Source organism: Homo sapiens, chromosome 7 (genome assembly GCF_000001405.40).
Source record: "Homo sapiens chromosome 7, GRCh38.p14 Primary Assembly".
In the NCBI taxonomy this organism is placed as follows: Eukaryota; Metazoa; Chordata; class Mammalia; order Primates; family Hominidae; genus Homo; species Homo sapiens.
In genome coordinates this window covers 37,323,874-37,350,917 of record NC_000007.14, presented here as the reverse complement: position 1 = coordinate 37,350,917, position 27,044 = coordinate 37,323,874, and the positions used below count along the sequence as shown (strand labels likewise).

At 42.9% G+C, this 27,044-nt stretch overlaps 1 protein-coding gene across 14 annotated transcripts in view, besides 2 other annotated features; it reads left to right on the top strand.

The window, feature by feature from the left end:
- ELMO1 (engulfment and cell motility 1) overlaps positions 1-27,044 on the top strand; it is a 596,421-nt gene that overhangs the window by 98,409 nt on the left and 470,968 nt on the right. For 12 of the 14 annotated variants that reach the window (NM_001206480.2, XM_011515654.3, NM_014800.11 and 9 more), the window contains one exon: positions 8,155-8,305. In NM_001206480.2, coding sequence (NP_001193409.1) covers positions 8,228-8,305 — 78 coding nt within the window. In that variant the 5' untranslated portion in view covers positions 8,155-8,227. Of the gene's footprint in view, positions 1-6,959; positions 7,025-7,828; positions 7,867-8,154; positions 8,306-27,044 lie in introns of those variants that run through there. The other 2 variants (XM_017012839.2, XM_006715805.2) reach the window with 2 other exon arrangements.
- Positions 7,561-7,800: an enhancer, noted in NCBI's record as "active region_25854". NCBI's record gives its function as "activates an Ori minimal core promoter by ATAC-STARR-seq in GM12878 lymphoblastoid cells {active_cell/tissue: GM12878}" and the evidence as "EXISTENCE:reporter gene assay evidence [ECO:0000049][PMID:35858748]".
- Positions 8,041-8,160: an enhancer, noted in NCBI's record as "active region_25853". NCBI's record gives its function as "activates an Ori minimal core promoter by ATAC-STARR-seq in GM12878 lymphoblastoid cells {active_cell/tissue: GM12878}" and the evidence as "EXISTENCE:reporter gene assay evidence [ECO:0000049][PMID:35858748]".

Here is a 27,044-nt window from a genome sequence, read left to right as displayed (position 1 = left end):
CCTTCTGAGGGCTTTCTCCTTGGCTTACAGATGGCTGTCTTCTCCCTGTGTTCTTAGGTGGTCTCCCCTCTGTACCTTCTGTGTTCAGATTTCCTCCTCTTAAAAGGATAATAGACAAACATGCTGTATTAGGGCCCGGCCTGAAGACCTAATTTTAACTTACTTCTTTCGAGGTCCTGTCTCCAAATACAGCTACATTCTGAGCTACTGGGGGTTAGGATTTGAACATACAAATTTTGAGGGGGACACAATTCACCTGTAACAGTTCTCATACTAAAGAGGCCTCTATCAACCTGAGAGGATTTAAGGATTTGAAGGAAGTCATTTAAACTAGTTAAGATTTAGTATCTTCATTAATTTACTGCAAATAATAACACCTGTCACTCAGGGCTGTGAAGAAGAGTGAGTAAAGTGCGTGTCCACGGTGCCCAGCCCCATGCCTGCTCTAGGCGCCTGTCTGCCACTCCTTCTGGCAGCTGTCCCCTAGCCTTCATGATGTCAATGCCAGACACTGGGAAAGCAAAGACTTTTCTCTGCAAGTTTCCATTATATTGCAAGCCAACCGTAGCTAATAGCACATTTCCCCACCTGTCAAGTAAATGGGCTGAATTGTTGCTGAGATTAGCATACATGGCTAGCGTGTACAGAAAATGAAATACTGAGCCTCCACACTGGATTCCATTCTCTGTTTATTCTCTTTCTGCTGAGTGCTTGCATGTTCTGTTCTGAACACACCGTGTTCCCTCATTTCTGAAGCCACAAACTTCCTCTTAGGCCCCGGGCTGTCTTCAGAATGGCCATCAGGTCCCTGATACGGGAACCTGAAATGACACCCCCACCATATACCCATCCATCCAGACCCTCCAGTGTAGGGCAGGTGGGGGGACATGTGCCCACCACTGCTGCTCCCATGGGAAACAAAGACTGGCTTCAGCAAACCTGGACACTCATACATCCTGAATAATGTCAGCTGACCACACCACCGACTTCATGTATTCCTTGACCTAGACACTAAAGGTATTGAGACAATTTCAGTCTGTTTGGCATAAGAAGGATGGTAGCACAAAGAAGAGAAGAGCAAAACTTTTACCCAAAGCCTATTTCGGTGGCCCCTTCTGAGGTTCAGTGTACCATGCAGGGCGGTGTTCTCAAAAGTGAAGACTAGGCCAGGTGTGGTGGCTCACGCCTATAATCCCAGCACTTGGGGAGGCCGAGGTGGGCAGATCACCTGAGGTCAGGAGTTCGAGACCAGCCTGGCCAACATGGTGAAACCCCATCTCTACTAAAAATACAAAAATTAGCCACGCAAGGTGGTGCCTGCTTGTAATCCCAACTACTCGGGAGGCTGAGGCAGGAGAATCACTTGAACCCGGGGGGCGGAGGTTACAGTGAGCTGAGATTGTGCCACTGCACTCCAGCCTGGGTGACAGAGTGAGACTTCATCTCAAAAAAAGAAAAAGAAAAAAAAAGTGAAGACTAGAGGGCTCCAGGAAGACAGCAGTGCCAAGAGGGAAGGGCTGCTTTCAGTGGGTGATCCTCCTGAAGCCCTTTCCCTTTCTGCCTAACCTAATGCAAGGGGAAAATGTGGTCTATGTCTTTTTCTATCAGAGACAACTCAACATTAAAAATATGAGATGAACAGCTCCCTTTCCACTATCCCCATCATCATTATAAACCCATTATCCATCATCAGTAGATAATGACTTAGCGGGACAGAGGACAGCTTTTCTGGTGAGGAAGGAAGGGGCTGAGGAGTGGAAGCAGATCGTTTCTCCAGCTGTTTGGTGTTTCTCTCCCATTGATCTGCCCTGGCCTCCACTGGCCCATCTGTTGGGCTTGTGAGTGCAGTAGGGGAGGGGACACACGGTTCACCAGGGCAAGTGTGTTCGTTTCCCCAACACACAGCTTCTACAGGAATGGCCATACAGGCTTAATTTTTTTCTCAGTAGGGTTTACTGTGCAACAGAAAGACTACAAAGAGCATTAAAAGGTTCAAAGCCATTGCAGTCACCCAAAACTAAAAAACTATATGGGAAATTCAGAAAAAACAACAAAAAGTGATCAGGTATTTGGGACCTTTGTGGAACCGAAAGAATTAATTAAGCTGTATGGAAAAACCTGTAGAGATGTAACAGATCTTTAAGAGACTACAGCAAGAGGCATGTTGAACTTGGGGCATAGAACAATGTGTAGAGAGATGAGTTTCTAGGTGGGAGTCAAAGCGATTTCTGTCTGTCGTCTTCAAAATGCCACCCAACCTACGGAGACATTTAGTGGAAGAGTGGGCTTGTTCACGGGTTATAGAGTCAGATGTTACTGCTATACAGACTTCAGTACCTAACTCTAGAAGAAGTGATTCCTCTTTATTTAATCCACTCAACTATAAACACACCACTTAACATGCATATCGAGGTGATAGAATCTTAATATTAAACATGGAACAATTCCCATATTTTTGGAATGGAATAAAGTCAAGCCAGCAGGCAAGCAGGAACGGTATAGCATTCTCTGCCCATTCTTTACCCACCACCTGGGATTTGATAGTGACTTTGGAAGGCATGATGATTAGAATGTCTAGCCACCTGCCTAGACTTCCCTTTTGTTTCTCCCTTTAATGGTTCTTAAATTTTAGTTTGTATAAGAATTATTGTACCCGGCTGTCTACACAACTTCTTGTAGCTGGTATTTTACTGGGCAATTTAAGTAATACTAGGTTATCTACTTTGGTAATTTTGATAACACTAGGCTCAGTACTGCTGGTAGCTCTAATGAGATGTTCATTGAGGAGGGGATGCATTCATACAACAGCTATGTATTAAAATGCCTGCCTGCCGCGGCCCTGAGTCTGTAACTGTGAATGCGATGTGGACCTTGCCCTTAGAGTACTCCAGATGTAGTGGGGAGAAGTTGACAAAGGGAGTCTAGTAACCCCAGAGTTATGCTGGGGGAAGCATAGGACACCAGGATGCTGACTTTGTTGGCTGAAGATTTTAGAATGTATTTCCTTCTCAGTTATGCCTCACCAAGAGGAGTTGGGCTTGTGTGCTGATCTTTCCTGGAGAGCCTGATGAGACCATGTGCCTTGTGTCCAGTTCAAGGATGGGATAGGTTGCCCTGATCATCGGTAATCTGCCTAGAGGATTTGCTAGCTTACCGCCTGTATTAGTCCGTTTGCATGCTGCTAATAAAGACATACGGGAGATTGGGTAATTTATAAAGGAAAAAAAGGGTTTACATGGACTCAGTTTCATGTGGATGGGAGGCCTCACCATCATGGCAGAAGGCTCTTACATGGCGGCAGACAGGAGAGAATGAGAACCAAGTGAGAGGGTGTTCCCCTTATAAAGCCATCAGATCTCTTGAGGCTTATTCATTATAAGAATAAGAATAAGAATAAGAATACCATAAGAATAGTACCGTAAGAATAGTATGGGGGAAAACTTCCCCTGTAATTCAGTTATCTCCCACCGGGTCCCTTCTACAACATGTGAAAATTTGTCGAGACTGAGGGGAAGGGACTGTTGACCTCTAGAGGGTGGAGGCCAGGTATGCTGCCAGTCATCCTGCAATGCTCGGGGCAGCTCCTACAGCAAAGAAGTATGGCCCCAGCTGCTAATTGTGCCAGGAATGAGAAAGCCCAGGCTAGAACCTTTCTTCCCTAAATTTCATCAGAAGTAACAGTGATTATATATAGAAGCCTTAAGTGCTGTTTTCTTGTGAAAACATAAATTTAAGAGGATAAAGTCTGGACTTCTGAGGATAAAACATGAACTAGATTATCCATTCTGCAATTGTGCACCTGGCTGTATCCCAGAGGAGCCTTGCTATGCCCCCCTCCCTTTCTCTCGTGGTTTGTTAATGTTGGGGAAAACTGATGAGGTCTAATTGGGCTTGGTTAAGTGAATTCCCAAGGGGAAGCCTCCTTGCTCCTTTGCTCTCTCAATGGCTGCTTTGTGTACAGCTCCCCTCTGACTCTCCACTGGAGCCACGTTATTGTATTCTCACCTGTTCAACAGGTTTTCCCTGAACGGTCTGAGAAATAAATACCAGTTAAAGGGGTAGAAAAACAAGCTTGGCCTTTGATTCCTAGAAGGTTAGATGACCTTTTTTGCTGTAATTCTAGACAATTTTATGTAGAGGTGGGGGCAAGGTACTTAAAATGCATTTTAATTTTTATTATTTACTGTCTTAACCCCCACGATTGTGTATGCTTTCTTTTGAATAGTGTTACCTAAAATTCACACAATCTGTTTGCACATTAGAGCCTGCTTTCTTAATTCTTATGCTAGGATATGTAATTGAACTTGGATGTCGAACTGAAGTAATGTAGCACAGATAAAACGCATTGTTCTTAGAGCTCTCAAGTATTCAAAGAGCATACAGACTATGGAGAGGAAGTCCGAAGTACAGATTGTTTGCTTGCATTTGCACAAAGAAGACACTATAATTACTTAACAAGTCCCTATTGTTGGATATTCAATTGTTTTCAAGTTTTGAGAATTATAAACAAATTGGCATTGCTATGGTTAATAATTATTTCTTGAGGATAACATCCTAGAAAATTAAAATTACTCAAAGAGGATGCGAAATTTTAAGGCTTTTCGTATAGTTTGCCAAAGGCCCTCTGGAAAGCTGTGCTGATTTACACTCTGAATAGGTGTGCAGGGACACACAGCTTCCTTCTTTAGAAGTCACAAACCAAGAGGTGTGGTGGAAGTGTCCAGGGGGTCAGGAGTTCTCTGAACACATTCACTTACTGTTCTTGCACTTACTTGGCTTCAGCAAGTCACCTGTTTCAGGAACATAACAGGCATGCTCCTGCCTTGGGGCCTTCGCACTTGCTGATTTTTTGGCCTAGAACCTGATTTCTCCAGACGTCCACAGGGGCCCCATCCTCACCTCTCAGATGTCTTTTTTTTTTTTTTTTTTTAGATGGAGTCTTGCTCTGTTGCCCAGGCTGGAGTGCAGTGGCATGATCTCGGCTCACTGCAAGCTCTGCCTCCTGGGTTCACGCCATTTTCCTGTCTCAGCCTCCCGAGTAGCTGGGACTACAGGCACCCACCACCACGCCCGGCTAATTTTTTGTATTTTTAGTAGAGATGGGGTTTCACGGCGTTAGCCAGGATGGTCTCGATCTCCTGACCTTGTGATCTGCCTGCCTCGGCCTCCCAAAGTGCTGGGATTACAGGTGTGAGCCACCACACCCGGCTTGAGACAGAGTCTCGCTCTGTTGCCCACGCTGGTGTGCAGTGGTGCGATCTTGGTCCCCTGCAACCTCCACCTCCCGGGTTCAAATGATTCTCTTGTCACAGCCTCCCGAGTAGCTGCGATTACAAGCACCACCACGCCAGGCTAATTTTTGTATTTTTTAGTAGAGATGAGGTTTCACCATGTTGGCCAGGCTGGTCTTGAACTCCTGGCCTCAAGTGATCCACCCGCCTCAGTCTCAAAGTGTTGGGATTACAGGCGTGAGCCACCGCACCTGGCCTCAGATGTCTTTACTCAGGTGCTGCCTTCTCGGTGAACCTTTCTCTGAGTTTCCTGTTTAAAATTGTATTCCTGCCCCTCCCACACTGGTAGAGGCACAGGCTTCAGTTTCCTTCGCTGCTTGATTTTTCTTCATATCCTTTGTTGCTATATCCCAGATTTGCTGCTGTATATCCTCAGCATGGGGAATAGACCTGGCACTGAGCAGAGGCTCAATAATTATTTGTTGAATGAGTGACTAAACCACTGCTTTGTAGATTTGCTCTTGCTAGTTACCACTGATTAGCTTCTCAGCAGGCTTCCCTAATCATCTTTGGCCAAAGGAGTAGCGGTTTTGTTTTGGTTCATTTCCTTTACTTGTCAGCTGCGCTGAAGTTAGTTATTTATATAACTGCTGGTGTTGTTGAGGCTTCCATTATTAACTCTGCTATCTCTATTGTCTCAGTAATGTCCAGCTACTGCTGAGATCTGGGATAGTAACTCACAAGGCCTACTCTGGTCTGGTAAAGGACCAAATGCACATGTTTAAGATCTTCGTTACAGATATCAATTTCTCAAAAAAGACAAGAGAACCCAATAGAAAAGGGACAAATGTTTGGACTGTTCACAAAAAGGGAGCGTGTGTCTTTTCCTCTTTATGTTCAGCCTCACTCACAATAAGAGAAATATAATTTTAAAATACATTAAGATTTTATTTTTCAACCTGTCAGGTTTGCAAAAATTCATTCTGTTGGTGAGGCTGGGTGTAAATAGACAACCTCATACAAGTCCAATGGAGAGAAATTTGGAAATGGCTATCAATATTAACTGCACCTATGTTTTGACCCAGCAGTTTCAGTTCTGTGAATCTATTGTAAGGATGTACTTGCATATGTGCAAAATCAGTTATATATAAGTTTATGGATCACAGTTTGGTTTATGATAGCTAAACTTAAGAAATCACCCAAATGGCCCACAGCAGGGGACTGGTTCATCAAATAGGACACATCCACACAATGAACTACTATGTAGCTGTGAAAAGAATCAAGATGCTCTCTTTGTACTAACATAGAAGGATTTAGAAAATATACTAAAAGAAACAAAAAGAATGCTCCCTTTTGGCCAGTCACGGTGGCTCACGCCTGCAATCCCAGCACTTCAGGAGGCCGGGGAGGGCAGATCACCTGAGGTCAGGAGTTCAAGACCAGCCTGGCCAACATGGCGAAACCCTGTCTCTACTAAAAATACAAAAGTTAGCCGGATGTGGTGGTGTGCGTCTGTAATCCCAGCTACTCGGGAAGCTGAGACGGGAGAATCGCTTGAACCCGGGAGGTGGAGGTTGCCTTGAGCTGAGATCATGCCCCTGCACTCCAGCCTGGGCAACAGAGGGAGACTCTGTCTCAAAAAAAAAAAAAAAATGCTGCCTTTTATATAAAGAAAGTGGCAAATGTAATAATGTATTTTTGTATTTGCCTTCTATACTTGAAGAAAGTTTGGAGGGATACCTAATGACTTTGGATAACTGGAAGTATAAGAAGTGAACGCAGATATTGGGCAGGTGGGTGACACTGGGAGAAGAGACTCTACACTGTCCGTCTTTGTACACACAAACACACATACACACACAAGTTTGTATCACATGATTGTTAACAAAAAATTAATTTTAAAAAGAAATGGGGCTGGGCCAGGTGGCTCACGCCTGTAATCGCAGCACTTTGGGAGGCTGAGGTGGGCAGATTACCCAGAGTTCAAGACCAGCCTGGCCAACATGGCGAAACCTTGTCTCTACTAAACATATAAAAATTAGCCAGGCGTGGTGGTGGGCCCCTGTTATCCTGGCTACTTGGGAGGCTGAGGCAGGAGAATTGCTTGGACTCAAGAGGTGGAGGTTGCAGTGAGCCAAAATTGCGCCACTGGGCAACAGAACCAGGCTCTGCCTCAAAAAAAAAAAAAAAAAAAAAAAAGAAATGGGCTAGCCTGGGAAGAGGCAGCAGAGGATAATGGTTACCTCCTTTGTGTAAGAAGCACGATTCATTCAAGTGAGAATTCAAAGTCTGTTCTGAATGCCATTCAGTCCACATCTGTACATTTTCTGCCCCACCCCCACCCCCCACCGAAGGTGCATTGTGTGAACCGACCTTGGGGAGGGAGTATGGGTGTGCATGTGTGTGAGCTCTCAGGGTGTTTCTCCTTCTTCATGATATCCTGGTTGCTATAGTGTGGAGATCTGTTTGTGACACACAGAAAACACTTTAAAGAAACACTGCTTCCTGACCATGACTTCCTGGGCAATCTGTCCTTCCTCAGACTGTTGAGTGCCAGACGTTTATATGCATGTCTGGACAGAGAGTGAGCCTGGCTCATTCAGACCCTGGGCACCATTCAGAGCAGAACTCAGTGGTAAGGAACAGCTTTCTTTCCACTGAAGATTCGCGCAAGCCGTGCCCCACAGGGCAGCGTCTCCTGGCGGCTTTGACTCAAGGGCGTTGGCACGGGCACCCCCATCTTTCTTCTTTCCTCAGGAGCCCATTGTACCGTTGGCTGTGCCCCTGCACCTTCAGCACCCAGGCACCAAGGGGAGCCGTTTTTCATACCAAACCACCAGTGAAAACAGGAAGTGATGAAGCAAAATTCACCCTGCATCTGCACTGAGTGACTTCTCTTTCTTTTTCTGTCATTCCTCATTAGGTATAGACACGTGTGGCCGTTTACGCTGTAGGATCCTCATTCCCACTGGCTTTGAACATTTTGGGGACTTACAATGCCGCCACCCGCGGACATCGTCAAGGTGGCCATAGAATGGCCGGGCGCCTACCCCAAACTCATGGAAATTGATCAGGTTAGTAACGTGACAGCATTGGGTGTCTATTTTCAGTTTCCTTTCTATACTGGAATTTTCATAGACTTTGGATAGCTCACTCTTCTCCCTTTCTCTCTCTAGCTGTGTTGAAAAATCTGTGCAATAATAGTTGCAATGTGCTTGATTTCTGTAGCACATACAGTGATGGATGGGGTTTTTATACTCTTCCAGCATCCACTTGGATTGTGTCAATACAGGATTTGTGTCTGAAGCTAGGAAGGAGGTGGGAGGGACAAGTGGATCGGGCCCTGGGCAGTTGACACAGTGGAGGCTGCCCCATCCCTGCCTTGCCATGACACATGGATATGTGCAGATTGTTGGAACACAGGCAAGACAAAACTTAATTTTTAAAATCCCTTTTTTTTCATTTTTTGCAGAAGCAGCCAAATGCATTGGTACTTTGTTATATTAATAGCTTTGTAATGAAATTAGTATAGAGGGGTTCAGTCTTGGATTTCAGCCAATTGTAATTTTTATTTTTAGTGTAAAATTCACAATGTGTCTAGCATATTGTCTGCCATGTAGTAAATACTCAACAAATGTTTATTGAATTAAAAAATATCAAGAAGACTTATAAAAGTGGCTTGACCCATAAAGGCATCCTTTAACTTGAATCTTGAGAATTGTATGGTGTGATTCTCATGCACTATTTGATTATAGGTTATCTCAGAATGGTTACTTTTGTCCTCACTTTACTGTAGTCACTCTAGAGCAAATGATTTAAGGAATAAAAGGTTGAGACCTATTATATACTTACAGGTTTCATAATGTATATAGTATAGGGTTCTAGATGGCTTTCTACATTTTCAAAATTACAATAACCATGGCAACTCCAATCTTTATGTTCTCCATACTATTTTACAATTATGATTTACAATTTTTTTTCCTGGTCAGATTTTATTATCTGGTGGCAGATCAATGCGAGAGTTATATGGAATTGTGCGAATCCAAAGGAATCATTAAAATGAATTATACGGGTCAGCTCAGAATTAATTGAACTTAAACTCAAATGTAAGAAAGGGTAAATTTTTGGGATTTTTGTCAAAAAAGCTGTTATCAGACCACACATCATTGTCATTTTAACTGCTCTCTGAGGTAGTTTTCTACTGACTCAAGAAGGAACCTATACAAACAGAGAAAAGTAGAGATGCCTAATAGTTTCGGATATATTTGAGTCAGGCAACAGATGCTTATCTGCTTTCATATGTGGTTTGAGATGCTAGTTAAAATTTACCTTAAGAAAATGTTTGGAGATACTCGGTGCAGACTAAATGTAGTTTGGATTAGGTTTGGCCACAGCCTAAGAGACCAGTGGCTTCAGTGAGATGGAAGTTGGTCTCACACACGTGTAGAGAGGTCCTGAATGCCCCGCAGTGGCATGCACTGGGGCCCTCTGTCTTGTTGCATTGCCCTTCTCAATCTGTGGAGCTTTGGACCACATGCTTGGGCATCACCCGAAAGCACATTAGAAATGCAGAATCTCTGGTCTTATTCCAGACCTCCTGACCCAAGTCTGCATTTTAACAAGATCTCCAGGGTATCCCTGTGTGTAGTTCAATCTGAGACGTGCTGAGCTGGATACCTGGTGCCCAAGCCCGAGTACTAATCAGAATTACCCAGGCACTTATTCGAAATAACTATTTTCAGTGGTCCCATCCCAAGAGACTCTAATTTAGTGGTTCTGGTAAACTATTTAATTTTGATTCTGCCATGGTCAGTGCAGTTTGGGAACCTCTGCTTTAAGACAGCAGCTCTTGATAGACAGTCCTCCTCCTTACCTGTGAGGTTAGTGTAGTGTTCTCTGCCTTTGGAGATGGCCTTTGCTATGTGTGTGTTTTAATATATATATTTTTAAATTATCTGCTTATTTTGGAATAATTTTAGATTTACAGAAAATTACAAAGATTGTATATGCTTACATTTATACCCTATTTCCAGTTTCCCCTTATGTTAATATCTTAATCTTGGTACATTAGTCAAAACTAAGAAATTGACATTGGTACATCACATTAACATAACTACCAACTTTATTTGGATTTCACCGGATTTTCCACTAATGTCCTTATTCTGTTCGAGGATCCAATCCAGGGATACGAATTGTCACGTTTCCTCAGTCTCCTTCCGTTTTGGACAATTTCTCAGTCTTTCCTTGTTTTTCATGGCCTGATAGCTTTGACAAGTAATTTTATGTTGATACAATTTTAAACACACAAAAATTGCCAGGATAGTACAAAGAACTCTGTACCTACTTTTTCTGAACCATTTGATGGAGCCCTGGAAGCACCATCCCCCTTCACCCCTGAACACTCAGTGTGTATGTCCCTAAGATTGTAGCCATTCTCTTACATAATAATCACAGTACATTTATAAAACCAGAAATAAATTGAATACTGGTATAATGCTATCGTCAAATTCACAGTTCGTAATCCATATTCAAATTCCATCAGTTGTCCCAATAAGATCCTCTATAGCTATTTTCTCTCTGGTGTAATATCCTGTCCAGGATCATGTACTATGTTTATTGTCAGGTCTCTTTGATCTCCATTGATCTTTAGAAATTTCTCAGTCTTTATCTTTTGTGACCTTGACATTTTTGTAGAGTACAGGACAGCTATTTTAGGAAAAGTCTTCAGTTTGGGGTTCTCTCACATATCCTGCTGATCAGATTCGAGTTTTGTATTTTTGGCAGAAATGTAGAGAAATGATGTGTCCTTTTTGGCTCATCATATCAAGAGGTACATGGTGTTGCATTGCCTAATTCTTGATAATTATTCTGGTTTTACAGATGACAAGTGTAAACAGTTGGTTAAATTATAGGCCTCCTATTAATCACATATGGAAACCTAGACGGGCAATTAGGAACCCAGTTCCTAATTGCCCTGCAGTTGCTGGAATTACAATGAGACTTATGGAAGTGTTGCTGTCAGATGTTGTTTCTTGATTGAATCAGAAGTTGGCACAAGAATTAGAAGTATGTTTTCACATGCAATGAAGAGTAGAAGAAATGATTATTACTTGGGTTTTCTCCTAATCTTCTACCTTGTTCAGTAAAGATCACATAACCTGCCTCTCTCCCATAGCATGTTAGCTTCATTTAGAAAGCTCTTTGCTTCTTTTTAGCCTGGATAGCTGCTATTTCACTAAAAGCCGTTTCCAAAAGTTGGGTTAAGCACTGCTGCTCTATTGTCTCCCAAAATTTTGGGTGCCCCTCCACTTATCACATTGTATTGTCCTTGTCTATCAACTGAACCCAGTGGTCCTCAACCTTGACTGTGTACAAGAAGCATCCAGGGAGCTTGTACAAAATGCATATACCAGCTTGTGCAAAATGCAGCCCCAGCTGCAGAGATTGTGATTCTGCTGGCCAGGGGCAGGGCTTTTCATCTGCATCTGTGATAAGCACCAGATGAATCTAATCCAAGGGCTTCCACAGTTTGAGAAGCAGTCATTAGACTGGGAACTGCCTGTCTTTGAGTGTTGTTTCTCCTTGCCTGGTGAACAGTCCTTAAAATGAAAAGATATTTCATGAATGAATAACTGGGAGGCGGTGCTTCCTGAGTAGTGATTATCTTATCAGGTGCTCAATTCTGCTCAGCCACCCTCCATCAGTGCCTGGAGTTTTCAGAGGGACGTCTGCCCATGATGGACTTGTTTATCTTCTTTCTAAATATTTAGGAGAAAATTCTGTGTTTCCACTCAGCAGGAAAAATCCCCAGGAGCTTCTTAGACATGGACTTTGCTGTATCACAGGAAGGTCTCAAAAGAATTATCAACTCACTGGTTCCTGACTCCTGCTCTCGCCTTCACAATGTATTGTTGAGTTTCAAGCCCGGGGAGCCGCTTGAGGATGAGGATGCTTGTTGTCTGGATATATCAAGGCTCCTGCATGCACTGTTCTTGTTAACCTATTATGTCCTGAATAATGTATTTGTTTCTCGGTCAAGAGTCTGGAATCCCAAACACTTCAATAAGCAGCATCTAGTAAGAGGCAGTGGGCTCCAAGGACATTTAAACCTGGATGTGAGCACTTGTTTTAGTTCCTTCAGCTGCTATAACAAAGTACCTTAAACTGGGAAATTTATGAACAACAGAAATTTATTGTTCACAGTTCTGGAGGCTGGGAAGTCCAAGATCAAGGCACCAGTGGATGTGGTGTGTGATGAGGGCTTGTTCCTCATAAATGGTGCCTTGTATGTTTCCCCACAGGCAAAAGGGGCAAACAGGCTCTGTCAAGCATGTTTTTATACCACCACCATGGGGGCCAGGTTTCAAACAGATGAATTTTGGGGAGACACAAACATTCAGACCATAGCAGTCCTGGAGCCCTGCTTTCTGTGAAAGGCTCAGTTAGCCTTGAGCCTCAGTTTCTTTGGGATAATAATTTGCTACTTTGATGGTCCTTGTGAAGATTAAAGAAATCATGTGAAAAGAGTGTAGCATGTTGCATAGCTTAGAGTGATTCCTCAATAAAAGCAGCCATTATTAGCTAGATTAGAAAATTAGGTACTCTGGTTTTCCTTTTCACCTGCACTTCCATTGTGAACATTTGCCCTCTGTTCTCATTCTTTCTCTGCCTAACTTTTTCAATGTTTAGGAAGGAGAAAAAATTAAAAGACAAGTGGGAGGCATCCTCTGGTAATAAAGAGGTGTCCTAATTGGACACATAGCCAATTTGTGCTATGGAATATTCACTGGCTCCCTAGTACTCTGTGATTTTTTTTTTCCATCTTGGCCACTCACCATTTCTGAGCAGCAGCTTTTCTGTTCCCTGCATAAACTCTTCAAGCCTCCAGTATTTCTTGTCTCTGCCCTGCCCCCTCAGGCCTTGCTTTTCAAGGAAGACACAGACCAGAAAGCTACCACTTCTGTCTTTGCCTAGAACTTCTCGGCCTACATATTTGCATGGCATCACAGACTACCTGATGCCTTTATCTCCTGCCTTCCTGTTTTGTTTTGCTTTTTCTACTGCTAGCAGAGAAGGGAAGAGGTGGTCCCAATTTGTTTCCAGTGCTTTCAGCTTATCCCAACCCCCAATGCTCCACATAGGTGTTTTTTTTTTTTTTTTTTTATACTTTAAGTTTTAGGGTACATGTGCACAACGTGCGGGTTAGTTACATATGTATACATGTGCCTTGTTAGTGTGCTGCACCCATTAACTCGTCATTTAACATTAGGTATATCGCCTAATGCTATCCCTCCCCCCTTCCCTTACCCCACAAGAGGCCCCGGTGTGTGATGTTCCCCTTCCTGTGTCCATGTGTTCTCATTGTTCAATTCCCACCTATGAGTGAGAACATGCAGTGTTTGGTTTTCTGTCCCTGCGATAGTTTGCTGAGAATGGATCCAAAGGACATGAACTCATCATTTTTTATGGCTGCATAGTATTCCATGGTGTATATGTGCCACATTTTCTTAATCCAGTCTATCATTGTTGGACATTTGGCTTGGTTCCAAGTCTTTGCTATTGTGAATAGTGCCGCAATAAACATACGTGTGCATGTGTCTTTAAAGCAGCATGATTTATAATCCTCTGGGTATATACCCAGTAATGAGATTGCGGGGTCAAATGATATTAGCCCATCCTTTCTACCCTACCTGGGGCTTTGTCCCAGCCATGTTCTCTTCTCTTATTCTTTTCTTCTTCTCTGTCTTCAACAGTGAACTCTTCTGTTTTCACCTTGGAAAATCCTCCCCTTGACCTAGTAACTCTCTTTTGGTAGTATTTTATTCTGTTTTTCCATTCCAGGCTTATTTAAATGTTACCAGTATATGCCATCTATGTTGTTCCATGCTTATTTTAATATTTGCATGAACAACAATTTACCTCTCTACAGGGCTCCCCTTTTTGGTGGCACCTCTGCCTTGGTTGTCCTCACCCTCTCGGTTACGCTCGGCAAAGCTGCCCATTCTCATCTTCTTGAAACTCTCCCTTCCTTCCTCTAGCTTCAGTGCCTGAGATTCTTCCTCCCTGTTTGATTCATCTGGGATTGTTTCCTTCCTGGTTCCTCTTCTTTCTAGATCAGTTCCAACCTCAGTGCTAAGCCCTCTGGTCTGTGTGTTCACTGTCGACACTCTTTGTCTTAGAGTCCATGTTCGCTCATGACGTTAAAGTTTCACCTCTGCCTACATACATAACAACAGTTCCCATCACCGGCATAGCCTGCCAGCTAACCACTAGTTTCATTTCTCTGTTGGGTGGATATATGGTTCCCCTCTCTAACTTCAGTTGTCTACAGACGAGACAAATGGTTAGTGAAACTGCCCATATGTTAACCTGAAGAAAGGAGTCTCACAGGTATTACCAACTTTTTGAGGTTATATCATGTAGAGGGGGGACCATTAGATATGTTCTTTTTTTTTTTCCTTGACGCAGGGTCTCACTGTGTCACCCAGGCTGGAGTACAAAGGCTCAATCAAAGCTCACTGCAACCTCTAATTCTGGGCTCAAGATATCCTCCTGCCTCAGCCTCTCGAGTAGCTGAGATTACAGGTGTGCACCACCATGACCAGCTAGTCTTTGTATTTTTAGTAGTGATGGGGTTTTGCCATGTTGCCCAGGCTGGTCTCAAACTCCTGGACTTAAGCGATCCTCCCACCTCAGCCTCCCAAAGTGCTGGGATTACAGTCCATGAACCACCACAGTGCCCTGCCTAGATGCGTTCTTTATGGCCCAAGTGTAGGAACTCCATCCTATTTGTGCTAGGAGACACATTTCACCTTCACCCAAGAAAAGCCAGCACGGGCCATCTCATCAGGCGAGGGGATCCATCATCTCTACCAAGTGTGCATCAGACAAATGCTTGGAGAAGATGTTCTGAGCATATTCAGGCCCAAAAAGGGCAATGGGAAGAGATACATAGTTTTCAACCTTAGTTCTGCTTCTCAAATGGCTTGGGGCAGAGGGGTGGCTGCCGAGGGCTTCCGGGCACCCCTCGCTCACTCCTGCTGCAGCACCTTTGTATTGTCCCATTTTCATTTGCGTATGATTTGGGGAAAGATTTTGTTTGAAAAAAGTTTATCAGTTTAAAAAAATAGACATGGATGATTCTTGAGCTTTCTGGTATTCCTGAGACTTCAGTCAGATTCTTTAGGGTGGCTTTGCATCCTTCCATATTTTTCATAAGCATTGTCCCTGGGCCAAGGTAGTGTCTGCAGGCACTGTATGTGATTCCCAGGTACCCCTCTGTTTTATAGAAGCTGCTCCTTTAGACGCTTGTTCCCGCACATTCATGGTCTTTTTTCATCTCTTGCCGTTTCCTTCTAAAAGTATGCCACCTTGAATGCCCCCTGCCTTCTCCCAGCTCTCTACTGCTTTAAATCCTGGCTTTGCTAAGCACTGCAGAGAGCCTCCTTTGTACTCAAACCTTTTCTGATCGCATTATAATGCAGTCTTTTCTCCAGTTTTCTAATTTCTTATATCATTTTCTTTGCCTGTAGCTTTTATTTGCAGTTAATATATTTCACACGTAACGTAATTTACATTTTTCTTTTTTCATGCTCACTTCTCTTGAAATAGATTATAAGCTCTTGGAGGTCAGCCAGTGGCTTACATACATTTGTATCCTTTGGTTCATCACATTGATCTCCGTTACTGTGTGTGTACAATAGGTTTCAATTCTGAACAGTGAAGATAAGAATAAAACACTGGTGGTCTTCATTCTCCAAACAGAAAAATTATAATAGCACGCCTACCCCAGTATATTGGGAAGGGTTTAATTCCCTAAAAGAAACACAGATGCATGTGTTTTAGGTAAGTGTGATTGCCTGCAGTTTTTCAACTACCATATTTCTATAGCATATTTAAGATATAATTCCATATGCATAAATTTGATTTACACAAGACCTTTGAAAAGCTCATTGAGTAAAACCCATTTGAGTTTTTGTACTTGACATGGAATTTTGCTCGTTAGTAGCAGTAATAATAACAGCAAGCACCACACACTATGTGGCAGGCAATAGAAGGCCTTGCACGTGGGATTTCATCACCTTACTACAGCCTTCAAGATCGGCTTAGGCTCCCTACTTCATAGTTATTCAAAGGTTCATTAACTTGCCCAAGATTACTCAGCTAGGAAGGTACTGATTTGAATCCAGCACTGTATAACACCAAAACCCAGGCAGTTTTTTGGTTTTTTTCTTGTTGTTGAGATGGAGTTTTGCTCTTGTTGCCCCGGCTGGAGTGCGATGGTGCAATCCTGGCTCACTGCAACCTCCGTCTCCCAGGTTCAAGCGATTCTCCTGCCTCAGCTTCCCGAGTAGCTGGGATTACAGGTGCCCGCCACCATGCCTGGCTAATTTTTGTATTTTTAGTAGAGACAGGGTTTCATCATGTTGGCCAGGCTTAGACATTGCCAAATGTCTCTTGGGCGGTGGACAGAGTCTCCTCCTGTTGAGAATGGACTAGGTCAGGGGCTCCTGAGCTTGCTTCTGTATCAGAATCACTCATGAAACATGTTGAAAATACACAGAGGATCATTGTGTAGTGATTCAAGGTTCAGGGATCCTTGTTTTTATGAAGCTCCCCTGGTGATGCTCATGCTGTTGGACCTACATTTGAAAACATTGTTGTGAAGCCCTTGAAATTTATCACTCTCCCTGCAGGAGCTACCTTTGGCTCCCACGGTAACTTTTAGTGAGTCCTTTAAAGATAGTGCCTCAATTTATCCATGAGGGAAATGGTCCTAAAAATTCTTAGCCTCTCCTTTACAGAGAGTACAAACATAGTTTTAAGAGCTCATTTTGCTCCAATTAAGAAAGCTGTAATAAAGACTGTGATACTGCACCATTGCTTTCATACCGTCATAATAGGTGAAATGACATTGGTAGAGGAATAGACATCCTTCATCTGATTTTTGCAACTTTTAGATTTGGTAATGTAACAGATATTTCTTAAACTTCCTTTAAAATGAAGTGACTGGGGTACTTACTTTTCTGGTTTTAGCTCTCTTTTCTTGTGTGAGAGAGTCTATATAACCTCATAAAATCTTAAAAATTTGCCAAGTTTTTGAAGAAAAACACAGCAAACATATCTCTCCCTTTAACTGAGCTGAGTTTAATTGAGCGAGAATGAACTCTGGCATTCTCCTTTTCCTTCAGCAAATGAAATGCAGATTTTTAGTTTGCTCTGTAGGTGGGTGCTGGTGGGATTCTCTTCTGTTCTACTTCCTTCCACAACACTGCCACTCTGAGAAGTTCGGGCAACTCAGGACACTCTTGTATTAACTATGTTTTCTTAAGACTTGATGACTAAGACCTCTGACATTTCTAGAACCTTTTGTGAATGTTACACTTTGTGCTTATTTTCCTGTTAGGTCAACAGGTTAATTGTGGCAGGATATCTAAATATGTGGATTTCAGTGTTGAGAAGGAACTCTGGGTACCCAGGAACAAACAGCTTGTACTTTAGGAGTATATAGACCAATGTGCAGTGTGTCCAGAACTCCAAGGAAATGAGAGCAGCCTCTAGCAAATAAAATATGTGCTTTTCTAGTTTCTTGTTCCTAGCTTTCCATCAAATGCATTCATGGGTCAATGGCATCACCATCATGCTTAACCCCCATCCCCACAATCTCCATAGCCCCTCAAATAGCAAGTCCTGTAAAATCAGCCTCCTAAGTGGGCTTGAGTCCATCCACCCTTTTTCCGTCCTAGCCGCCACTGCTGTAGCTTATTTCCCCTAGGTGGCTTCAGTAGCATAACAGCTGGCTGCCAGGCCACGCTTCTTCCTTCCCCTCCAATCCATTCCCCTAGGCCTAACATTCTGCACTGGCTTCCATTGCACTAGAATAGAATCCAGACGTCCTTGCTGTGTTGGCAGGGCCCCCTGCCCCCAGCTCTTGCCAGTGCACTGCCTTGCTTAGTGCCACTCTGGAGTTCCCCAACGCCACCATCTGAGTTCTCATCATATGCAAACATTTTCTCCTTTCACAAACACAAATTTCTTCCTACTTCCAAGTCTTTAAAAATGTGATTTTCTCTTAACTAGAAATTATCCTCCTCAGTTCTCTGCATGTCTAACACCTGTTTATTCTTCCATCCCAGATGAAGTGTAAGTTCCTTAGACCTTTCTCTAAGGCCTTTTCTGACTCTTCAGACCGGATGAGGGTGCTTGCTGTGTAGAACTTGTAACATCCCACAGGGCTCCACTTGTCAGCATTGTAATCACTACGTGATGCTCTGCATGGGCCAAGTATGTCCCCAGCGCCAGCATAGGGCCTGCACGTGGTAAACTCATAAGGAGTGTTGAGTAAAGGAAATAAGTGATATTTATACTTTTTCTGTCTATTGATACAGACAATAATACATGAACAGGAATGACTATGGTGAAGGCATTCTTTGCCTTGTTTGCACCATGTATTCTAAATACATTATTACATTTTATAAATTGGCTTTAGGAAAATCTTTGTGTGTCTTTCCATCAAAGCCATCTGTAGTTAAAAGACAATCAGTGACTTTGAGACAAACCAGCTCAAAATGATGATGGATGAATCCTTACTCTGGGACAAACTCGTGGCGATCTGTTTGGATTGATCAGCCTCATCATCATGAGATGCTCATAATTTCCGGCTGTCATTTCTTCGTTGACCACCCTGACCTGTATAAACAACCATCCATCTGCCTGTCTGCCTTGCTTATCTACATGGCTCTTGTACCTCAAACTCAGCATATTCAAACGGTCCTTGTTGTTCCTCCCACCTCAAACCCATACAGTTTTGCTTTTCTTCACGTTTTCCTTTTCTTGGTGACAGATGTGAACTACACCCAGTTTGCTCAAGCTGACACCATGTTGTGTCTTTTAGACTCTTTTTTTCTCCCTCATCTTTTTATCCAATCAGTCATCACAGAAAACTGTCTGCATCTGGTCTCGGTCACATCTGCTGCTGCCACCCTCTCTGGACCTCTTCCTTCTGGTCAGTGTGGAGGAGTACACAGAGCAGGAGAGAGCTTAAACATCGGTGTGTGTTGAGTATCCTCAAAGCACTTCAAAAGAGAGAGCATAATATCTACACAAACAGGAGATTATGAGGACAAAGCAAATGGGTATAAATTGTGAACAGGTGTATGTGAGAAAGAGCCAATTAGACATCTTATAAGTGAAAAATGCAGTAGTCACTGGGCGTGGTGGCTCACACCTGTAATTTCAGCCCTTTGGGAGGCTGAGGCGGGCGGATCATGAGGTCAGGAGATCGAGACCATCCTGGCTAACACAGTGAAACCCTGTCTCTACTAAAATTCCAAAAAAAAAAAAAAAAAAAAAAGCCAGGCGTGGCGGCTGGCGCCTGTAGTCCCAGCTACTCGGGAGGCTGAGGCAGGAGAATGGTGTGAACCCGGGAGGCAGAGCTTGCAGTGAGCCGAGATTGCACCACTGCACTCCAACTTGGGCGACAGAGCGAGACTGTGTCTCCAAAAAAAAAAAGAAAAATGCAGTAGTTTTTCCCTTATCTGTGGGTTTGCTTTCCCCAACCAACTACAGTCTGAAAATGTTAAATGGAAAATTCCAGAAGTAAACACTCATAAGTTTTAAATTGTGCACTGTTCAGTGTACTGTGATAAAATCTTGCATTATCCTGCTTTGTCCCTCCAGGACTTGCAGCACCCCTTTGTCCAGCATATGCACGCTATAGACACTTCCCATTTGTTAGTCACTTAGTAGCCATTTCCGTTATCAGATCAACTATCATGGTATGGCAGCACTTGTGTCCATATGGCCCTTATTTTACTTAATAATGGCTTCAAAATGTAAGACTAGTGATGCTGGCATTTCAGATATACCCAAGAGAAGCTTCCTTTAAGTGAAAAGGTGAAGGGTCTAGATTTACTAGGGAAGGAAAAAAAATAGTTGCTAAGATCTATGGTAAGAATGAATCTTCTTTCTGTGAAATTGTGAGGAAGAAAAATAATTCATGCTCGTTTTGCTCTCAAACCTCAAAGTGCAAAAGTTAGGGCCACAGTGTATGAGAAATGCTTAGTTAAGACCAAAGAGGCATAAAATTTGGGGGTGGAAGATATGAAGAGAAACATATTCTGATTGATGGCAGTCAGGTTCAGTACTATCTGAGGTTTCAGACATCCACTGGAGGTCTTGGAACATATGCCCCTCAAATAAAGGAGGGACTACTGTATATGTTAATAAAATGAAAAAAAAGAAACAAAACAAAAACCAACAGCAGAAAGATAAAACAATAAAACACAGAGTAACTCTAGAGTGGATTTGGCTAAAGAGAGAATTGGTTAATTGAAGGTTGAAAACAAGGAATTCATTCAGAACATGGCTCAAAAGAGAAGGGAATGAAAAATATTAATACAAATGCTAAGCTGTGTTGAAAAGGATAAATTAAGAAGCTATAATCTATGTCTAATTGGCAGTTCCACTAATAAGGAAATGAATGTTGGAGACAAAATATGTAAAGAGCTTCTGGCTAATGTCATGCTTCTCTGGAATTAAAGGGAAATCTGACAGTGAGAAAGAACAGGGGCTCTGGATTTGGCCACTTGGATCTGTGAGGCTCTCCCATCAGAAGCCATGTGGACTTTAATACCGTGTCCAAGGGAGTAGAAAATGGAAGATTTCTAAGCAGGGGAGTGACGTGGTTAGTTGTACTTTTAGAAGGTGCCAATTGGAGAATTGTTTTTTGAGGGCAAAATGGAAAATGAGAGGCTAGATTGCTCTTGCAGTAGCCCAATCAAGAAACAACTATGCCATGAACTGGGACAGTGATAGGGAGACACAAAGAAGTTAGGTATGTGTCCCCGTTGTGACATATGGGAAGACTAATTTGACAGAAAATTGATGATTGATTATGTGTGTGGGGTAAGGCAGAGTAAAGTGCTAAGGGTAGTTCTGAGATTTCTGGTATGAACAACTGGAAGGATCTTGGTGACACCTGCCAAGATAGAAAACATCTGTAGAGGACTGTTTAGGTGGACTTGCATTCCTCATGGACACCTTACAGAGGGGTACAGGCAATTGTTCAGGTGTCAGCATATCTCCTTTCATATTTCCTTCGGGTTTTGATACACTGGCCAGTTTTCCCATTTAACTTCTCTCAACCCCAGTGCAATCCCCTGTCATTTGAGATTGCACACCTGATTATGCTGCTCCCCTGTCTAAAAACCCACATGGGTCCAAACCTTTAAGAGTTGTCATAGTTCAGACTCACTAAAAGAGAGAATTGTAAATATTCTCACCACAAAGAAATGATAAATATTTGAGATGATGGGTATGCTAATTACTCTGATTTGATCATTCCACAATGTACACATGTATCAAAATATCACTTTATACCCCATAAATATGCAGTTATTGTTTGTCAATTATAACTAAAATAAAACTAAAAGAGTTGTCTATAGGAATTAGGCATTTTTTCCTCTATCTTGCCTTTTGAGCCACTGTCTCATCTTTCATTTGTGTGACATTATCAGCTCCTCCATATGCAAAGAGGGTCATCCATTTTGCTCTGCCTTTGCATTTGCTGTATCTTCAACCCAAAATGCCTTCGGAAATCCAGATAGCACTGACTTGTGCTTGCTCCCCTGTACCCACAGGCAGAATAAAGAGGACAGCTTTGAGAGTCACTCCGGACTGCATTGGCAGGACAGGAAACAAACAACAATATGAAGGAGAGAGGGAAGATGTAGTGTTGATTCCAAGTTTATATTCTGACAAACTAGAAGAAGATGAATAAAAGTTGAAAACTGGGAAAGAGAGTTTTGGGGTAAGATTTGAGTTTGAGGTTATGAAAGGATATGCATTCAGGTTGAAATGGTCTGAGACAGAAAGGACTACAGAGAAGTTGGGGTTGGAGATGGTGATTTGGGCATCCAGAGTGAGCTTGAGCAGAGAGGCTCTCCTGGTTGGTATCAAACGTTCCAGTGTTAATTTAGGATTTTATAATTTATGCATGAGGAAGGATCATCTACTATTCATATGGTGATGCTAAAACATTGCACTTCAAATAAGATTTCTCCTGAACTTCCTATGTGCCAGGAACCAAGGCACCCAGCTCCAGAACCCACTCCACAGGTGTTAGCGCTGAGCACCTGGGCTTGTCGTTCATGGTTTTGAGGACTTGGTAGATTTGAGATGGAGTTAAAGGGTAAGGATTGTGGAATTGTACAGGTCTGTGTTCAAATTCTGACTCTCTTCCATGTGCTGTGAGGCTTTGAGCAAGTTACACAGCATCTTTTTTTTTTTTTTTTTTTTTTTTTGTGGCAGGGTCTCCCTATGTTGCCCAGAGCTGGAGTGCAGTGGCATGATCCTGGCTCACTACAGCCTTGACCTTCTGGGTTCAAGTGATCCTCTCACTTCAGCCTCCCAAGTAGCTGGGACCACAGGCATGCACCACTATACTCGGCTAACTTTTTGTATTTTTTGTAGTGATGAGGTTTTGCCATGTGGCCAGGCTGGTCTCGAACTCTTGAGCTCAAGTGATCTGCGCACCTAGGCCTCCCAAAGTGTTGGGATTACAGGCATGAGCCACTGTGCCTGGCCAAATTACGTAACGTTTTAAGAATCCCTCATATGGTTTGCTCATTAGTGAAATACACTTAGTAATATCATCTGGTAGGGAGTATATGGTAGTCACTCAAAAAACAGTAGCTGTTGCTACACTGTATCATAATTAGAAAGGCTGGCCAAGTGATGACAGTAAAAGAAGACAGTAAAGTCTGGGTTGATGATATATTGAAGGTAGGGGTGAAGAATGTGAGATTGTCATTATTGTTTGCATAGTTTAGACCCTTCCTGAAAATCCTGTGTTACTATTCTTCAGGGCTGTAGGTTCTGCCTGAGGTTGCCACCATTAACTTAATGGGACATTTTTTGAGACTCAGAAGCCACGTCCCTCCACTACCTGCTGGCAGATGTCTCATCATGTCCATTGCCACTCAAGAAAGGAGGATGAATTGCCATTAGTACATCCACTCAAAAGCACGCAGACCAACTAGTAGCAAAGAGAGACAAGAAGTACAAGAAAAAAATAAAAAAACTAAATGAGAAACATGAACTAATTTCATACTTTTTTGGTCACTTGTTCCTTTCAGTGTTCTTTTGACTGCTGTCTTACTTTCAATCTCAGGTTCCTTGCCATTGATAAACCTTCATAGTCCTGTGTGGAAATTGAGCCTGAACCCTACTTTGCCTTCAGGGCTTATTGGCTTTCTCATATCTACTCTCCTAGCCTGATAACATCCTATCCATTGGAGCTGACAGTCATTTCTGTTTATCCTATTGAATCTGTCTGAATTTTTATTTTTAAGCTATGCACATAAATACAGTTAATTTTACAAAGGTGAACTTGACACACATAAATGAATTATTTCACATGGGTGAAGGTAAGCAGACCATAAGGCCTGAATTGATTCTCCCTGTGAATCATTCATTTCCACATGAAAGGAAACACTTGATTACAAAGGCATGGTGGAGTGCAGTGGCCTTCTGTGCGTCTAGAGTCATCTGGAAGTACTTGGAAAAGACTGATATCAAGGAAGTTTGAAGACAATATGGGAATTAGGAAAGTGGTTGTTGTTGCTGTCAGATATAAGGAAATTGGGGAAAAACGTTGTTCTTGATATCCATAGCAACATTGATATGTAACAATATTCACTAAAATAATCAGGAACTAGGAGAATCACAAAAGATTATAATTGATCTAAGTAGTCCTTTATTTTTGCATTGTTCATCTCTATAGTTCTGTCATTATCTAAAGTTGCAGTTTCCCTTCCAATTGAAGGGAAATACAATGTCTGCTGAGCAGAAGCATGTTAGAATATCTAAAGGAGAAGGTAGGTCTGCTTGTCTTTAACCCGTTAATACATTCAACATAATTATTTCTATCTTTGCTTATCTTCATAGTTTAGTGATTTTTATGACAGAAAGACTGTACTTTATCCTGGTAAAATCTAATACCTAATTTGTTTCATGAAGCTTGAAACAAGACACTTTTGGTAAACCATTTAACTGTTTTTTTGAAATGAATCATCATTTGTCAAGAAAAAGGTGGCAGAGTATCATCTTTCATTTTTTTTTTTTTTTTTTTGAGATGGAGTCTTGCTCTGTTGCCCAGGCTGGAATGCAGTGGTGCGATCTCGGCTCACTGCAGCCTCTGCCTCCCAGGTTCCAGTGATTCTCCTGCCTCAGCCCTCTGGGTAGCTGGGATTACAGGCGCACCCCACCACGCCCGGCTAATTTTTGTATTTTTAGTAAAGACGGAGTTTCACCGTGTGGGCCAGGCTGGTCTCGAACTCCTGACCTCAGGTGATCTGCCTGCCTTGGCCTTCCAAAGTGCTGGGATTACAGGTGTGAGCCACCGTGCCTGGCCCATCTTTCAGTTTTTAAAATTAATGTGATCCATGGTTTTACTACTGTGGAGAGGTTGCTGTAAGCCCCCTTTGTCATTTTTGATAATTGCTTGAATCTTGGGTCTGTTATTCACACAGCAACTGTTGTCAGAATACTTGCTTTCCAAGAACCAGCTGAATTTGCCTCAGGAAAGTGGGGCTTTGTCGTTACCTTTCAGATTCATCAGGCTGTTATTAGGAAGATAGGGTATAGACACAGCCTTTTCAGAACACATCTGATTCCTCCATACAAAAGTAGATGGCTCAGAAGCATGGAGAGTGGTGGTAGGATCATTGGAAGAAGAGTAGAACTGTTATAAAGTGATTGGTGTCATTGACACAATGTCACGAGGCGCCTCTGGGAGCTAGATGGCTTATTGTACATTAAAGTTCCTTCAAGTCACATTGTACACGTTGTAGTCAACATGCTATCCTCTCTCAGTGGTGTCCTGACATTTGAAAGCTAGATTTCTTTTCTTCCTGGGCCAACGTTACTAATAACTGCAGAGCAGAATATGTTCAATGAATTTCTATCTATAAAAGCAAAGTAAAATTCCAAAGTAAAATCCCAAGTGCTGTGCTGTACCACCTCAAAGTGTTAGAATAAAGCATCTGTCAGGTAGGTTTTTTTTTAAGCACTGGAGAAATGCTTTTTAATAGTCTAGGACCAAAAACTTTAAGTCTTTGTGGAAAAGCATTTTGCAGTTAGAGGGCCATGAGGCTATCGCTGGACAGAAGGGTGGAGGAGCAGTGAGGACCGGGGACCGCTTCTGTCCTCTGCTTGCTGTGATCCGTCTTTAGCTGCTCCCCTGAGCCTCCATGGCAGTCAGGAAGAGACCAGAAAAAAAAGAGAATCTAAAAGTCTGGAAACAGAAGATAGGTTTTTAATCAATGTTCATTAACTGCATGCCTTTCCAGGCCCAGCAGCCACGCGCCTGGGAGGGGACAGTGTCCCACAGGCAGTCTCTGCCACCAAAGTAAGTGCCATACAGGTGGCAAAACACAAGAAGATGAATTTAAGAATAAACAGCAGGATGCGGCAAGTGCCAAAGGCAGCATCGGGGGCTGGAGTCACTTTAAGGAAGAAGGAGGAATTGGATTTTCATTCATTTATTCACTCAATTTCTTTAACCAGCATTTTTTTTTAAAGTGTGTGAAGTGTCCAAGGGATGTAAGTTAATAAAAGAAGCTATCTGTAGATAACGTTATGTAATGCCCTACTATGTACCAGGTGCTGTTTCAAGGATTTTACACCATTATCTCAATTAATCTTCATAACGGGAAGAGAAAACAGAAGCACTGAGAGAAGTAAGAAGCCCAGGTTCCAAAGCCAGGGACTGCAGAAGCCGTCCCTGGAAGTCCTCTAAAGTCATTGATGGCCAGGTGCGGTGCTTACGCCTGTAATCCCAGCACTTTGGAAGGCCAATGTGGGAGAATTGCTTGAGGCTAGGAGTTCAAGAACAGCCTGGGTACTATAGCAAGACCCTGTCTCTACAAAAAGTAAACCAGCCAGGTGTGGTGGTACACACCTCTAGTCTCAGCTACTCAGGAGGCTAAGACAGGAGAATCCCTTAAACCCAGGAGGTTGAGGCTGCAGTGAGTCAAGATCATAACACTGCACTCCAGCCTTTGTGACGGAGTGAGACCCTGTCTCAAATAAATAAATAATAGAGTCATCCAAGAGCTCATAGTTGGGGGGAAGATAGAGAAAAACACGTAGTCAATAAAAATTCATCATTCTAAAACCTTTTCTCGTGTCTGTTCACTTGATACCACCTCATGAACATTTTCCCCATGTCATTAGAAACATTTGAAATGAATAAACTTGATGGAAGCAGCCTTTTTTTTCTGGGTGATGCCCATTTTGAGGCAGGCAGAGGCCGGAGAAGTGGATGTCAGAGCTGAGAACGGCAGCCCATGCTCCATAGTGGCTAAAACAGGTGTGTGGGCACATTGGCTGGGGGCGCTGCCAGTCTCAGCAGGCCAGTGTCAAGGCAGAAATGTGGGCAGCAACAGACTTGAGCTCTCCAAGGTGAGCATTTGGGCTTAGTAAAGTCCCCAAGCCAGGTGCCTTGGCCAACAGACAGGAACAGGTGGCTGCGCAGCCAGGGCCTGCCAGTGCTCATCAGAGGCGGGGCAGGGAGGGGCTCTGATGAGGGCTGACAGCTGGGGGGTCTCCTGGGAAGGTGCTTCCAGGAAGGCTGGACTGGCCATCTCCTAAATAAACAGCCAAGGACTCCCCTGGTGGCTGGGTCTCCAGTGCCTTAAAGGAACATATACTCTGAGTGAGAGAGTGATCATATTTTTTTTAAGAGATCAAGAAGAGGCAAAAGAGAATTGTTTAGTAAGAAAGAAAGAAGTGTTAAATTTAAAAGGGTGG